This window comes from Homo sapiens, chromosome 15, assembly GCF_000001405.40.
Source record: "Homo sapiens chromosome 15, GRCh38.p14 Primary Assembly".
Lineage (NCBI taxonomy): Eukaryota > Metazoa > Chordata > Mammalia > Primates > Hominidae > Homo > Homo sapiens.
Genome location: NC_000015.10, coordinates 82,439,410 through 82,455,882, shown reverse-complemented (window position 1 = coordinate 82,455,882; position 16,473 = coordinate 82,439,410). Strand labels below are relative to the sequence as shown.

At 46.8% G+C, this 16,473-nt stretch overlaps 1 long non-coding RNA gene and 2 pseudogenes across 1 annotated transcript, besides 3 other annotated features; 2 read left to right on the top strand and 1 right to left on the bottom strand.

Annotated features, from left to right (window-relative positions):
- Nucleotides 1,181–9,171, bottom strand: UBE2Q2P6 (UBE2Q2 pseudogene 6; annotated as a pseudogene).
- Nucleotides 9,397–9,901: an enhancer, noted in NCBI's record as "H3K4me1 hESC enhancer chr15:83114659-83115163 (GRCh37/hg19 assembly coordinates)". NCBI's record gives its function as "activates a minimal SCP1, AML or CMV promoter by ChIP-STARR-seq in primed H9 embryonic stem cells {active_cell/tissue: H9 hESC(primed)}" and the evidence as "EXISTENCE:reporter gene assay evidence [ECO:0000049][PMID:30033119]".
- LOC102724034 (uncharacterized) lies at nucleotides 11,014–12,551 on the top strand. Its single transcript, NR_120378.1, has 3 exons — nucleotides 11,014–11,039; nucleotides 11,735–11,859; nucleotides 12,128–12,551. It is a non-coding gene; the product is annotated as an uncharacterized LOC102724034 (long non-coding RNA).
- A 1,598-nt stretch (nucleotides 12,552–14,149) lies between these two features.
- On the top strand, nucleotides 14,150–15,206 carry DNM1P36 (dynamin 1 pseudogene 36; annotated as a pseudogene).
- Nucleotides 14,888–15,879: an enhancer, noted in NCBI's record as "H3K4me1 hESC enhancer chr15:83006785-83007776 (GRCh37/hg19 assembly coordinates)". NCBI's record gives its function as "activates a minimal SCP1, AML or CMV promoter by ChIP-STARR-seq in primed H9 embryonic stem cells {active_cell/tissue: H9 hESC(primed)}" and the evidence as "EXISTENCE:reporter gene assay evidence [ECO:0000049][PMID:30033119]".
- Nucleotides 15,108–15,610: an enhancer, noted in NCBI's record as "H3K4me1 hESC enhancer chr15:83109001-83109502 (GRCh37/hg19 assembly coordinates)". NCBI's record gives its function as "activates a minimal SCP1, AML or CMV promoter by ChIP-STARR-seq in primed H9 embryonic stem cells {active_cell/tissue: H9 hESC(primed)}" and the evidence as "EXISTENCE:reporter gene assay evidence [ECO:0000049][PMID:30033119]".

Genomic DNA, 16,473 nt, shown 5'->3' with positions numbered 1-16,473 from the left:
CAATGTCAGGGGAGAGCTTCCTCTTGTTGGGCCACAAGACTCCACAAGGACAGCACGGTGACTGATTCCCAATGCTAGAGGCGAGGCAATCGGTCATGTGTAGGTGTATGTGTGTGTGTGTGTGTGTGTGTATATACACACACATATGTGTGTATATATATATGAGGGTGTGTGTATGTGTGTGTATACATAATTTATTTATTTAGATGGAGTCTTGCTCTGCCACCCAGGCTGGACCTCAGTGGTGCGATCTCGACTCACTGAAACCTCTGCCTCCTGGGTTCAAGCAATTCTCCTGCCTCAGCCTGCCGAGTAGCTGGGACTACAGTCACCTGCCACCACACCGGGCTAATTTTTGTATTTTTAGTAGAGATGAGGTTTCACCATATTGGCCAGGCTGGTCTCAAACTCCTGACCTTGTGATCTGCCTGCCTCGGCCTCCCAAAGTGCTGGGATTACAGGTGTGAGCCACAGCACCCAGCTATTTATAGATATTTATAGAATATGACCTCAACTATTTAAACATATCTGTAAGGGTATAAGTACTTTGATAACAAAGAAGCAATACATACTGATAGAAACTAGCTATCATGTCAACAGTACTTATATTAGGTAGAGAAATTATGTGAGATTTTTATTTTTTTATATTTTACTAATCTTCTCAATAATGGTTGCTTATAAGTTTTATAATCAAGAAAAAAGATTTCTAAAGTTTTTGCAAAATGGAAAGTTATGCTTCTTTATATACTAAAGACAAAAACAAAACTTCCTATTTGAATACCTTTGACTTTTACTGCAGACTTACAGACCCTTGAAAGAAAAGGCAATTCCCTCCCACTAGTTCTGGTGTCATTCTCCCCATCTCTCCCTTCACTTCCACCTTGGTCTTCTTTCTACTTCCCACCTTGGCTAGTGGTCTCCACCCAAAATGCTTGCTTGGCTTAATGGTTAGAATTCAGGGAAAAAGAGATCCCGAATTGCTAATCTAAACTAAGATTATACATGTGGGAAATAATAAAGAGAAACCAGGTAGTAAATAAGATTTGGAGGACTTAAAATACCCAGACTTTAATTCCTCTAAGATTATAGTTATTAATCATGTTTTTATATAATATTATCATTTAACATTTAATTTCTAAATATAATGTTCATGAGGAAAAGAGAAAATAGCTTGGTTTCTTTCCTTACCGAACTGTTGTCCTTAGTATCTTCTAGACGTTCCAGAACTGATGTCAGATTTGGCTCATCAGAGTCCACAGACCATATCGGTGAAGAAGATGAATAGGATTCCTGTTTAACCCAGAGACACCTATGTTAAATGTTTACATACAGACTAACCCAAATATGCAATTAAACCACACCACTAAATGGCAAGATGACCATGGATTTAAACAAAATGTATGGGGGAAAAGGCAACACGTTTAAACCCATGTGAGGAGCTGGACTTCTGAGACAGCCATTCTCCTTGCATAGCACTGTCTGCTGCTACAGCTCATAGAAGTCAACAACTTTCTTCAACACTGGTAGGCAGCCTTTAAATGGCCCTGATCACCCTCACCTCCTGCCATTCACACCCTTGTAAAATTCCACCCCTGGACCTAGTGACTCACTTCTAACAAAGAGAATACAGCAAAAGTAACATCGCTTCTGAGGTGAGGCTACAAGGAGACTACGATGCCTGCCTTAGTCACCCTTCTCCTGCTCTTTCCATTGCTCCCTCTGATGGAAGCCAGTTGCCATGTGATGAGGTGCCCTATGGAGAGGCCCACGTGACAAGGTATTGTAAAAAGCCTCTGACCAATAGCCATCTAGAAACGGAGGCCCAGTCCAGCAGCCTCTGAGATGAATCCTGCCAACCTGAGCTTGGAGACAGATTCTCTCCCTATCCTGCCTTGGGATGATCACAGCCACCACCAACACCTTCACTGCCTGGTGAGAGGCCAAGCCAGTGAACCCAAGGTAAACTGGACAGAATCCTGACCCACAGAAACTGAGATAATGTTTGTTATTTTAAGCTGCTCAATTTGTTACAGAGCAATAGATAACTAACTCAAACACCATAAAATTCTAATATTTTATTCTATCACACAAACCAAGTAATACCAAGTAAATGCCATTACTATACATATATTTTTGTAACACAATTACATGTGATTTTTTAAAAAAGCTAATGAACTATGCATTATGTGCTTTCACCCACTAACAGACGTTCCCGCTGTTACTTTGTACTGTTCTCTATTATAAATTGGGGAAAAACCATTATTATTATATATTAGTTTCAGAATAACTAGGTTCAAGTCACAGAAAACAATTTTGCACAAACAACTTTAGGCAACACTGCTTTGAAAACTGTAATCTGAGTTAAAGCTGAAGCCACAGAAACCAAATATTTACTGAAGGTTCCTTTTTAAGAAAAGCAAGATGGGCCGGGCACGGTGGCTCGCGCCTCTAATCTCAGCACTTTGGGAGGCCGAGGTGGGCGGATCACGAGGTCAGGAGATCGAGACCGTCCTGGCTAACACGGAGAAACCCCATCTCTACTAAAAAAATACAAAAAAATTAGCTGGGCGCGCTGGCGGGTGCCTGTAGTCCCAGCTACTCAGGAGGCTGAGGCAGGGGAATCACTTGAACCCAGGAGGCAGAGGTTTCAGTGGGCCGAGATGTCCACTGCACTCCAGGCTGGCGATAGAGCAAGACTCCATCTCAAAAAACAAACAAACAAAAAGAAAAACAAGTTGTATTGATGGAGGACATCATTAACAGTATATCTCTTCAATAATGGTTTATTTTACTATTCTCATTCTTCTCATTCCTCTCTTACTGTGTTCCAAATCTCTTTACAGGCTAAAAGAAACTCTTCAGAATTACTCCTATTCTTTTTTTTCTTTTTTGAGACCGAGTTTCGCTCTTGTTGCCCAGGCTGGAGCGCAGTGGCACGATCTCAGCTCATCACAACCTCCACCTCCCAGGTTCAAGCAATTCTCCTGCCTCAGCCTTCCTGAGTAGCTGGGATTACAGGCATGTGCCATCATGCCCCACTAATTTTGTATTTTTAGTAGAGACGGGGTTTCTCTATGTTGGTCAGGCTGGTCTCGAACCCCTAATCTCAGATGATCCACCCACCTCGGCCTCCCAAAGTGTTGGGATTACAGGCATGAGCCACTGCGCCCAGCCAACCCTATTCTTAAAGAACACCAGTTCCTCAGTATTGCATTTTCTTCTATAAATTCTTCAGCATACACTGAGAATACACCATATGGACTATTTTTACACTTTTAATTTTCGTTTTTTTTTACTTTTGGCTAAGGAAATTTCAATTAGATTTAGGACTTCATTCTGTTAGGTTAGTATTTTCTAGTAAACTTCAGCATAAGCAAAATAAAATACGTGTTGTTGCTCTGGACTGAAACCCCTCAAAACCATATTTTAAAAATTACAAAAAAAAATTAACTGAAATCAAGTTTTTAAAAACCTTGTAGATGAAAAGATATGATATCTAGTACGTCTAAGTACCTATTTCAATGGTTCCCAAAGTGCGGCCCTCAGACCCCCAAGTCCAAACTATTTTGACAGGAATACTAACATGGTGACATTTGCTGTAAGTGTGCAAATACAATGGTGGGTAAAAATGCTGGTACTTTAGCACAAACAAAAGCAGTAACACCAAACTACTAGTAGTCATGGTATTCTTCATTATGCACAGGAAAGGTTTAAAAAGGAAGGGTGGGTGGGACATGGTGGCCTACACCAGTAATCCCAGTGCTTCGGGAGGCTGAGGTAGATGGATCACTTAAGGTCAGGAGTTTGAGACGAGCTTGGCCAACATGGTGAAACCCCATCTCTACTAAAAATACAAAAATTAGCTCGGTGTGGTGGTGCATGCCTGTATTACCAAATACTTAGGAGGCTGAGGCAGGAGAATCACTTGAACCTGGGAGGCAGAGGTTGCCTTGAGCTGAAATTGCACCTATGTAACTCCAGACTGGGCAACAGAGCAAAACTCCATCTCCAAAAATAAAAATAAAAAGGAAGGGCAACAAAAGGTCAGTTTCATTTAAGAATGTCTATGATAAGTTTGGGAATTTTGGCTCATGTCTGTAATTCCAGCACTTTGGAAGGCCCAGGCAGGGGGATCCCTTGAGCCCGGGAGTTCAAGACCTGCCTGGGCAACCTGGTGAAACCTCATCTTTACAAAAAATACAAAAATTAGCTGAACACAGTGGCTGCATGCCTGTAGTCCCAGCGTCTTGGAAGGCTGAGGCAGGAGGATTGACTGAACCCAGAAAGTTGAGGCTGCAGTGAGCTGTGATCACGCTACTGCACTCCAGCCTGGGTGACAGAACAAGGCCCTGTCTCGAAAATTAAAAAAAAAAAAAAAGAATGTCTATGATGAAGCAGTGAATATTTTACTATATCTAAATCATTGAATATATCTTTTTAATATTTCAAGTGATGAAATGGGAAGTATACATGAGCATTCCTACAGGCTGCCTGAGGAAAAACCCTTGAGTGACTAAGTCATGAAGTGAATTAACCACTTTAATGGAATACCATTTTTACTTGAAAGGCTGACTGACAAAAAATGTTATTTTAACTCGCATTTCTGGCAGATATTTTCTCAAAACATGAGATTCTGTCATTTCAAGGAAAACAACAGACAGGCTATAATAAAATTCAATAACAAAATTACTAATAAAATTCAAGCTTTTGAACAAAAAATTAGAATTTTAGAAAACTTATGCCCACCATCGCTTTCCAAAAGTATTCTGATGAGATTGATGGTGGTACTGATGAATGTATTTTGATACTGTACAAATGTATCAACATGTAGAAGATCTTAGTGAACCACTGTTTTATAAGTGACCAATGCACGATGTTGTAATATCATGCAAGGGTGGAAGATCCAAAGTTCAAGAAAAACCAAGATTTGATGGAGTATCAAAAAAGAAGCCTAGGCAACATGGCAAAACCCTGTCTCTACAAAAAATACAAAAAGTTAGCCAAGTATGGTGGTACACACCTGTAGTCCCAGCTACTCTGGAGGCTGAGGTGGGAGGATCACCTTAGTCCCTGGAGACTGAGGCTGCAGTGAGCTGTGATCACACCACTACCTTCCAGCCTGGGCAACAGGGCAAGACCTCATCTCAAAAAAATATATATATCCACAATGATCTAAAATGGTTATCTGTATGAGATTGGCCTTTGTTCACATTTTTTCAAGAAAATATCACACAATAAATTGAATGCAGAAGCAAACTGACATATCAATTTGCTAATGACATATCAAACATCATGCAAATGACATATCAAACATCAAAATAATTTGCAAAAGATGTAAGACTGTACTACTTTGGGTTTAGAAATTTTCTTTTCATAAAAGCATTTATAACAATATGTGGTGAGCTTTTAAACAATATTTTAAATATTTCTGATTTAATTTCTAGTGATAAATACCAATAGATATACCCTACATAAACCAAAGCTCCTTGGGACCTCAATGTATTTTTAAGAGTGTAAAGGAATCCTGACCCCAAAACTTGGAGAACTGCTGCCTTCCCCTCCACTTTCTTCCTTCTCTAGAATTTCTTCCTTGGAAGAAACATCCCTTTGCCATTCTATATTAACTTACATAGTTCCACTGAGGCAAGTTTTGCTACCTCCCTCCCATCTTTCCACCTCTCTCTCAACACAAAACCTGACCAAAGCATTCTACCAGCCCACCCCATTTCCAGTGATTAGCTGTCAGATGGGCTAAGCCAAACAAATCTGGGTTTTCCCTGAGACTAGACCTCTCTTTCTGGGAGAGATGGAATCACAGGGACAAGGTTGGCCACCTTGGGGTAGTGAGAATTCATCCTGCCTAAACAGGGAGAATTCAAACAAGTTTCTAGAAAGCCAAACTACTTTCTAGAAAGTCAAAGATAATTATATTTTTTGCCATGACTGTAAGAATGCCCATTTCATTGCACACTTTCTAACATTTTTACCAATCTGATAAATAAAAGCTGGTACTGAGATGAAAAAAAGGCTGGGCACAGTGGCTCACACCTGTATTCCCAACACTTTGGGAGGCTGAAGTGGGCAAATCACCTGAGGTCAGGAGTTCAAGACCAGCCTGGCCAACATGGTGAAACTCCGTTTCTACTAAAAATACAAAAATTAGCCAGGCATGGTGGCATGCGCCTGTAATCTCAGCTACTCGGGAGGCTGAGGCAGGAGAATTGCTTGAACCCAGGAGGTGGAGGTTGCAGTGAGATCACGCCATTGCACTCCAGCCTGGGTGACAAGAACAAGACTTCATCTCAAAAAAAAAAAAAAAAAAAAAGAAAAAAAAAGTTCCCATACAATATAATTTCTTCCATCTCTGGAAACAAATTCAGCAATGAGAACTGAAAGTCACCACGTGGAAGGTTTCAAGGATTTACGTCTACCTACTGATGTCTAAAGCATTAGTTAAGTTACAAAAAAATACGCACACACGCGCACGCACACACACACATACCCGTATGTATTCAGTACCAGAAAACATGACTGACTACATGGTAAAGTCATCCAACAGAAAGCACACAATAACTGAAGGCAATGTAGAGGAGTAAGTTATAACATGGATCTACAATACTGTTGAGTGAAAAAGCAGATTACAAACAAATATCTGATTTTTAAGGGAGAGGAAACATATACAAGCACAGGAGAAAAGAGGTGAGCAGATGACTGGAAAGATACAAATTTCTGACAGTGGCACCTTCTGAGTGGTAGAATTACATAGGTAATATTTTCTAGTTTTGCCTAAAAGTTTTCTAAATTTCTTAAAATAAGAAGGTTTTGTTTTCCATATTACAAAATATCCATCACCCCAGGAAATTTAACCTTTGGCACAAACTCTACAACATGTTCAAAGTTTGTTCAGTTGAATATTTAAGAGACAATCTATTTTGAAAGACATTTAAAATGACCAATATTTAAACCTATGCATTAATATTTTTCAATCACGTTTTAAATTTTGTAATTTTGATAAGTTTTAGATCCATCTTGAAAAGATAAATTTTCTGTTTGTCTTTAAAATATTACCTACAATATGCCTGTTTTTATACAGTTAATGGTGCTCAAAAATCGCAATATAAATTCAGGCAGTGTTCCTTCTATAGAATGTGTAAGTGCTTCTAATACTGCTCTTTTTCACCAGTTATGAAAACACGGAACAATTATCTAAGCATCTAATTATTCAGGTCCTTTGTTTCTCCTCCATTCTGTTAGTTTTATACTAATTTCAAGGCCTGTGAGGATGAAGTTGTCTGTGACAGCTACCACAAAGGTTACTATAAGCAGACAAATTTCCAGCAAGTTTATCACCACTACCATCCCACCATAAAACTGTCTCAATCAAGGGCAACACAATTCAAGGTTAGTCAAGACAACCTCTTTACCTGTCACTGCTTAAGAAAAGGATTTTTTGGTCTTATTTAGAAATAACTTTATCTATTTTTCTCCATAATTCCACTGAGACCAATGTGTGCCTCTATCTCAAGCACCAGCAAGCAAAACTGCCTGCCAGTATGTTCAGTTTTTGTATCTTTCCAAATGTAGGGCACAGCTATCTTTTGATATCATAATTTTTTGAAAACTGATGCACAAACTTCTTCTTGAAAGTTCAGCCAGGTGCGGTAGCTCACACCTGTAATCCCAGCACTTTGGGAGGCTGAGGCAGGCAGATCACGAGGTCAGGAATTCAAGACCAGCCTGGCCAACATGGTGAAACCTGTCTCTACTAAAGCTACAAAAATTAGCCAGGTGCGGTGGCAGGTGCCTGTAATCCCAGCTACTCAGGAGGCTGAGGCAGGAGAATTGCTTGAACCTGGGCAGCAGAGGTTCCAGTGAGCCAAGATTGCACCACTGTACTCCAGCTTGGGTGATAGAGTGAGACTCCATCTCAAAATAAAAAATAAAAAAAAGAATTTCAGATATACAGCAGTTGTAATTCTTCTGAAGGCTGCTTATGGGACACATTACTTTCATAATTTGCTGTTCAATAAATGTGGGGTGGAGAATAAAGTAAATTGACAGAATTACCATATAAAATAAAATTCTAAGTCCTCTGACAACAAAAACTTACACACACACACACACACACACACACACACAGCTTTCCCTGCTAATCATTTTACAACAACCAAGTAGCTAACCCAGAGCCCACAAAAGCAGAGTCAAAATTCTAACACTTGGTAAAATAAAAATGCACATATATCCCTGTCACCTAAAAAAAAATGCTTACGTATTCAAGGACAGCAATTGTAGCTACTGAGAACATCATTGTAAGCAAACTGAGGCAGAGAAAACAAACGTGCTGATGAGGATTTGAAACACCTAAGCTGCAGAAACCCACTGGATGGTTTCCTAGGTTCCGAGTTGGCATTATCTTTCAGAACGATCTTCTAGAAGAGATCACATAACACTGTTACAAAGGATCTGGAGAAAGGGACCCTGGCTTCATCACTCTGGCTCTCCAGTCATGCTTTACATTTTCACTTCTTACACTCTCTTTCATAGGAAGTCAATTTACAGGCTTCCACCAAGCCCTTAAGAGACGTTTTTGTACTATCCATGACAAGTTCTTGATGTTATGTCTGCACTTCTGACAAATTCTTAGCAGTTAACTTACTAGGCAGTTAAGGTTTTTGTTCAAGCACAATATAGCTAGAATAGGGTCATACATTCAATAAAACAAATATTTACCAAGCATTTATTGAGTGGAAGATAAAAAGCACAAAGCATAATTATAAAACATTCTCCCCTGCCACCATAAAAATTTTTTTAAAGCCTTACAGAATATAGCATAACATAACCAAAGCAAAAATAGGACTAAAGAGGGGAGGAAGGGGAAATATCAGCATGAATTAAATATGACCCAGAAGAGCCTTGATGGTCAGACACGTAAAGACAAATTGGGTAGGGTTAGGGGGTGGCTGTCAGGGGCACATTCTACAGGGGAAAAACAGCTGATACAGAAGCCTGAAAGGAAAAGCGGGCAGAGCACCTGGACAGGACTCTTACCTGCTGCATCCAGGGTACAATGCGCCTTTCCAGAACACAGCAGCGACCCGGGGTAGAGGGATCGCTCAAACAGCACCAGAGGCTGCATTCCAACTTTTCCTCCATCAACGAGTCCGTTTTCATTGTTAGTTTCTCCTTAAACACGATTGGCTGAACATGCGGGAACAAGGAAAACCTGACTGAAGAACGAGGCATTTAAGCTTAAGGGCCTTGGATCTGGGCGCGGTGGCTCAGGCCTGTAATCCCAGAACTCTGGGAGACAGAGATGGGTCATTTGAGGTCAGGAGTTCGAGACCAGCCTGGCCAACATGATGAAACCCCATCTCTACTAAACAACACAAAACTTAGCCAGGCGTGGTGGCGGGCGCCCGTAATCCCAGCTACTCGGGAGGCTGAGGCAGGAGAATCGCTTGAACCCACAGACTGTCAAGAGATGGAGGCTGCAGTATGCCGAGATCGCTCCACTGCACTCCAGCCTGGGCGACAGAGTGAGACTCCATCTCAAGAAGCGCCTGCCACCATGCCCGGCTAATTTTTGTATTTTTAGTAGAGACAGGGTTTTACCATGTTGGCCAGGCTGGTCTAGAACTCCTGACCTCAGGAGATCCAGCTGCCTCAGTCTCCCATAGTGCTGGGATTACAGGAATGAGCACTGCGCCCGGCCAAAAAACCGAAAATCTTAAAGGCCTTTCCCCTTCCCTCACTGGGCTCAAACAACAGCGGGAGCCGCCCTGCCACGCCCCGTCGCGGTCCAGGGGAGCAGGCTAGCTGACTGAGGGCGATCATGGGCCCCAAAAGGTCTGCGGGCGACGCGGGCTCCCACCTCAGGGCGCAGCGACTGGGGCGAGAGGTGCCGGCAGCCCCCAAGCCAGCCCCGCGGCAAGGAGCCAGAGAGACGCGCCCTCCCCCTCCTCCCACGCAAGCCTCACACAGCGGGGCGGGCCAGACGCGGGAGAAAGGGGCGCGCTCGCCCCGCCTGGGGAACCGGGGCCTCTCCCGGGCAGGCTCCCCTTTGTCCCGGGACTCTGGGCGCCTCCTCTCCGCCCTCGCCCTGCCCCGTGAGGCCGCCACTGGGCGCCTCACCGTGATGTTGCAGTGGAGCGTGAGCTGCGGCGGGGGCTCCTGGTTCTTGTGGAAGATAGAGGCCAACAACCTCAGCTTGGCCTTGAACCCTCACACGGACATTTTACTCTCACCTCTGGCGGGAGGGGCGCGGAAGGTGAGCCCGTCGGGAGCCGCTGTCACGGCCGCAACCACCCGCGGGACCTCTCGGCGGCGCTCTCCCAGCTCCGCCTCTCCCTGCTGCCTCAACTCTATTCGGAGTAGGGCTGGAAAATGGCAAGGGGCACCGAGGCCTCTGCGGGGAGCTGTGTGGCGGCCTGGGCGGCTGCTCCCCTTGTAACAGACTCCACCGACAGGAGACGCTGCTCCTGTCAAGCCGCAGCTTAAAAGGGCAACAGCACCACAGTCCCCGCTACCGCCTGGGAAAGGGCTGCCCCTACCCCGCTCCCGTCCCTCTCGCCCCTCACACCCGTCGCCCCTCACCCCTCAACCCGCGCGCCCCCTGCGCACCCGTTTCGGCGGCTGCAGGAGTCCAGAGCATGCGCGCGCTTCCGGCTGCCCCCTCCTCGCCTTGACCCAGCACTGCTGGACCCATCTGGTCCGTTCTTCACACTCGCGGACTGGAGGCTCCGGGCAGCACAACCACCAACTCGTGTGTGTGTTGGGGTGGGGGTGGGGGGCAGAAAACCACCAACTCGTGTGTGTGTGTGTGTGTGTGTGTGTGTGTGTGTGTGTGTGTGTGTGTCTCCCAAGGGAACAGCACTGCTGAGTTCAGGCTATCAGCTCATGGACTGTCAGCAAAATACAGTCACAAGAAGGCTATGTGCTGTTTTGTCTCTTGCAGTGACGTCATGTTGCTCATGTTTTATGTTTTTCAGAGTTCATTAGTTTCTGTTTGCTCTCAGTTAATATCCAGCTCAATAGATTGTGTAAGTAGAATACCCCCAAACTGAAAGTCACCTACATAAAATATAGTGAAAAATATGTCACCCACTTAAACTATAGTTGAAAATATGTACTCATTAGTTTTGTGTAGCCAACACTGGATAATGGGTAAGGGGAAAGGATCCCAGGGCTAGACTGCCTGGGTTCAAGTTCCGATTTCCTGCTGGCTGTGAAATACTTGACAGCGTTCAGCCTCTGTTTCTTTTCTTTTCTTTTTTTTTTTTAGCTTAATCCCAAATATGATAGTAAGTCTCAGTTTCTTGATCTGAAAAACAGAAATTATTCAATGACAGTCTATGTGAAAACTTTAAAGTTTTCAAAGCCACTATCTAGCTTAGGAAAGTCCTCAGCTTTAGGGGTTAAAGTTTTTAAAACCACTGCCTGGTTCAGGAAAGCCCTCAGCTGTAGCCATTATTAGCTATGATTATTATTGTGGTGGCTACACATACATTAATGAGGCAGGAAAATGCTCAAGGATAACAAGCAAGTATCCAGATTATCTCATCAGACCAAGACAGATGCATATGCATGCATGATCATGTTTTAGCTCAGAGCCATTTGTCTAAAAGGCTCTTGAACTCAGAGGCCCAGGAGTATCAACTTTGCTTTGCAGTGGAGCCATCGCTTTTGTTAATCAATGAAATTGACATAATGCTCTTCTTTTTTTTTTCCTTTTTAGCACCAACCATGTGCCTAGAGCTAACTGTGTTAAGAAGAGCATGCTTCAAGTGGCTGGAGTGAGCAATTCAACTTGTGGAGGAATGAGAAGTGACAGTGTTGAGACAAGCAACATAAAACCCCAGGGTAAGGTAGAAATCACTGAAAGTCAGGCAAAGGAACTGGCGTCCAGTAATGAGTCAGGCTTTGCCAGCCTCTGGCCCTACAGATGGCTCTTTGCAGAGGAAAAAATTAAGCCAGGCCCGAGGGCACAGATCCTAAGGGAATGCTGGCAGCTCTAGGCTGTCTATGAGAGTCCAGAGATGCTGCTTCACCCTGGGGCTTTAGGCAAGTCCCTTTCCCTCCCAGAGCCTCAGCATCCCTTCTAGCAAATGACGTTCTGCCTTTCTCCTAGGATGGCTGTGGGGATCAAGGGAGACAGTGGCCATAGGGATACTATGTTAACTGCAGATGCGGCTGTAGGAGCACTTTGCTAACTTCCAGCGTGAGTTCAGACTCTTCAGGCTATTTGGCACCCAGATCTATGGTGAGGTGTGACATATGGGATGTAAAGTTTGATGCCTGCTCCGACTCCAGTCTTGCTAACACACACGAAACCTTTGGTAAATCATGACCCTGCCTTGGGGAAAAGGGCAGTCTGGGAGAGCTTCTTCAAGGCAGCCTGGCTTCAATGCAGTCTGGGGCATGACTGAGGTAGGCATACATGGTGAGGAACTGGAGGGTAACTGGGTAAAGAGCTGCAGTGTGGGCAGAGGTGTAGTGTGGGTCACATCGCGGATAGCCACTGGCCAAAGCAGGGAACAGAGACAGAATGAGGAAGAGCTCTGTGGGGAGGGTGGGGCACAGGGTGGAGAACCTTCAAAGTCCAAAGAGTATGACTTGTTGGGATTCAACGCTGTAGGCAGTAGGGAGCCATGGAAGGCTCTGAGGTGGAGAAATGACAGCCGGACATTAGTGAGCAAGCCCTGTCTCCGTGAGCAGCATGGGTGGTCCTCTGAGCACGCCAGGCACGAGTGTGCAGGGAGCTGGTGCAAATGCCTCTGTGTGCGGGTGAGCATCTGTGTTGTGACTCTGCCCACGCATGTGCTTCAGCGTGCCGTGTGGCTGCACGCCCCAGATCCATGTGGCACGTGCCGGCCGGTGAGGGTGCTGGGCATTGGGAGGTGGCGGGGAGGGCGACGTATGCGTGTTGTTTGTGGGCATGTGTGTTAGCGTGTGCATGTGGGCCGTGGGGCCTCACAGCATGTGTGTGCACAATCTGGCGTGTGCGTGTGTCCCCCACCCCCAGGCCTGCCCCACCCATGCATGTGACCTGCCATGTGATTTGAAGCTGTCTTTCAGAATCACTATCAGTGGCCCCTGAGGAGCGTCAGCCATGGTAGGTACATGCCTCACTGCCTGCTGCATGAATGGTCTGCCTGCCCCGCTGCCCCAGCTCCACACAGGGGGCATACCTGGAGCCTCAGAGCCAGGCTCCCTGCCCCTCCCTTCTGGAGCTGCAGACTTGCTCTTTCCTCTTTCTGTCCTTGTGCTGCTGGCTGTCTCACTTTGCTCCCTGTGAGCCACGGGACTCAGTGCCACTGCTCAAGGTCTCCATGGCTGAGCCTGGGGGCTCTTACAACAGGCTCCATGCCGAAGGTGGCAGATGTGGAACCATCAGAGAGGGCACAGAGCTCATGGTTTATGGTGTAGGGGCTGGGAGCTTGGAGGGGGTTGTGTGGGGGGCTGGACTCAGGCGGCCAGAGGCCTGGGCACATCATCCTGGGCACGCCGTACCTGTCATGCAGTCTGAGTCATGCTGCCAGGGCAGGTATCCAGCTCCCAGCCTGGGAGTGCCAAGAGCCAAATCCACTGCAGATTAGGGGTGATAGTCACGGTCCCACGTCCTCTATCTGTCAGCAATCCAGTGGTGATCTAGGATAAAAGCCTGAGAGTCCTATACACGCGGTCATCCCACAACACACTTCATAGGCCATGGAAGGACACACAGCCCCCTTCCCTCCCTCCCAGGTACCATGATAGCTGCTAGCGTGCGACTGAAGGCAGGGTCCCTGGCCCCTGCTGAAGCACTACTGCTGGCCAGCAGGCTCACGCACCTTGGCCTGTTGCTTCTAGGGGTCGCCTGTGCTATTCAGCCAATAGTGCTGCTGGCCCAGCTGAGCTCCACCTAGAGAGCTCACTTCCCTTTCCTGCCGTGGAGTCTCCCTCTTCTGCTTTTCCCAGCAGGAAGGGCCCAGCCTCACCTATGTAACCTGCAGCCCCCCGCCAACCAGTTGAGGCTGCCCTGTTAGACTTAGAAGTCTATGGCCAATGGCATCTGGCTACCTGCCCTCCCTGCCTTCCCCAGGGTCCCTCAGAGGACCCTGGGCTTTCTGATGGCCCAGAGGGGCCTCTGGCATTCACTCCAGCCAGCCATCCCTTATAGCTCCACCATTTTGGTTCAATCAGTGTTCCTTCTCTATCAGGTCTGGTGGCTGTTGGATGGGGCTCTCCAAGCAAGAGGTGGCCCTGGGCCGTGAGTTGGAAGACAGGGTGACCAGAGAAGAGAGAAGCCCGAGGGGGCTGAGCATTCATCTGAACTATGGGTGGACTGCCTGGGTGCCATGAAAGAGGCCAGCGTGTGTGGGGTGGGGAGGGCCGCCGCAGTCCCCAGGCACTACCTATGAAGCTCCGGCTTCTCCCTCCATCTTCCTCCCCTTTCTCTTCCAGCCCCTCTTTTCCAGGAACCTTGCCATGCCCACACCTACGCCCTCCCCTCCCCGGCCCTCCACAGCTGCTGCAGCGCACCCATACTCTGCACTTGCCTCACCAGCTCTGGCTTTTCTCTAACCCGTTTTCTCTCTGCTTTCTCTCCAACTGCCAGCTGATTGGGTCAGGCAAGTCCATCCCATCCGGGGAGCCCCAGGCCCCACTTCGACCTCTAAACAGATTCCTCCTCTTCTCAGAGACCTCCCTTTCCAAGCCTGCCTGGGTGGGTGTCCTGTGACTTGACAGTGGCTCCCCCAGCCCCAAAGCCAGCCCCCTTCTTCTGTGACTTAGTCTGTTGTAGTGGTGAGCTGACACGTCCAGGTTTGACCGTTGCTGAAACTTGTGCCCCCTCTGTGGTATGCCCCTGCCCTGTTCTATAAATAGCTATAAATTCTCTCTCTCACACACACACACACACACACATATATACATATATATACGTGGCCAACTGCCTCGCCTCTAGCACTGGGAATCAGTCCCCGTGCTGTGTTTGTGGAGTCTTGTAGCCCAGCAAGAGGAAGCTGTCTCCTGACATCGCCCCTCCAAAGTGCACCACCTCCAGTGAGCTTCCGGGACATGCGCGGCCTGTGGACAGCCAGCCCCCGCCATCCCTCCCGCCCTTCTGGCCAAGCATGGCGGTGCTGTGCAGGCAGCTGTGTGGCCTGACAGTCTCTACCAGTCCTGCTGTCCCTCGGCTGAGAAACCCATTTCTGGATGACAGAGAATGTGTCCTCTGCTGGCTGTGTTCTCTATGGAGCTCAGGGGAGGGAAAAGGCCAAGCCATTTTTAGGGTGCTGTTGGGAGCAGTGAAAAGGTCACACCCTTTTCAAGGGACACTTTTCCTGGAAAGTCCCTGGAGCTTAGCTGGCTCTTACCCTGTGAAGCCGGCTCTGGCCACTAGGGGACAGGGCCCTGAACTCAGCCTGGAGGGAACCTGCGGGGCAGCCGGCACTCTGGAGGGACAGACAGGCCACCCGGTGCAGACAGGAGAGGGAGGCAGGGGGACAGAACGGAAGACACCTGGGGTGGATGGAAGTCAGTGCCCTTGGGCACTGGTATCTGTCTTCCCTGCCACAGCTAGATCAGGCTTCTCAACCAGTTGGCTGTCAGGGCCAGAGTGTACTCCGTAGGCGCCATGGCAGTCCCCATGAAATCCACCAGGTGTCACCAGGCAGCATACAGGTAACAGGCCTGGAAGGTCCCCAACAGCCCAGCTGGACATGCTGAGACACTCTGGGGCTCCTCATTCAGTGGGACAAACTGCAGGACCCAGTGAGGGAAATGGGAACATACCAGGCCGAGCAGTATGGCTAAATCCATTTATTCCAAAATCAAAAGCAAAAAAAAAAAAAAAAACAGGAGTCCCATCACCAGGGAGCCATGACCCCATCCCCGCCTCCTTCCTCGCTCCTATGCTAGCAATAAATAAGTTTCCCAGCCGCGAATAATTATAAGAACCTCTTCCTCATATGCCAGCTGCAACCTCCGCTAGGTACAATACAGAATGTTACACAGCTACAGTATGTACACGGGGGAAGGGGGGCCACCCCCAGCAGCCTGTGCCCTGGCCTGGTCTACAGTTAACTCCACTGTCCCGCCTCAGCTGCCTCTCTGAGTAAGAAGATGGGAGCCCCCCTGAGGGAAAAGTTGCTTTGGTGAGAGTAAGAAGGCCATCAGACCTCCTCCAAACAAACCAACTCCACCAACCTCTGGCTCTTAAATAACAAACATCATCATCCAGAAATGTAAGGACTCAGCCTTGGTCAAGGTGGTAAAGGGTCTGTTTGTCTCCCTCCATTAGACAAGGGTCTTGTCTTGCTACCCTAATGGTAAAGGGCTGACTGGGGAGGGGCTGTAGGGACATGGTGGGGGTGAAGACTCCAGACCCACTTCTCCAGGCTTATGCTGACAGGGGCCTGCTTTTATTTATTTTTATTTTTATCCCATGACTTTTTTTAAATCCTGTAACTAATTTTTCATAACTTTTTAAAA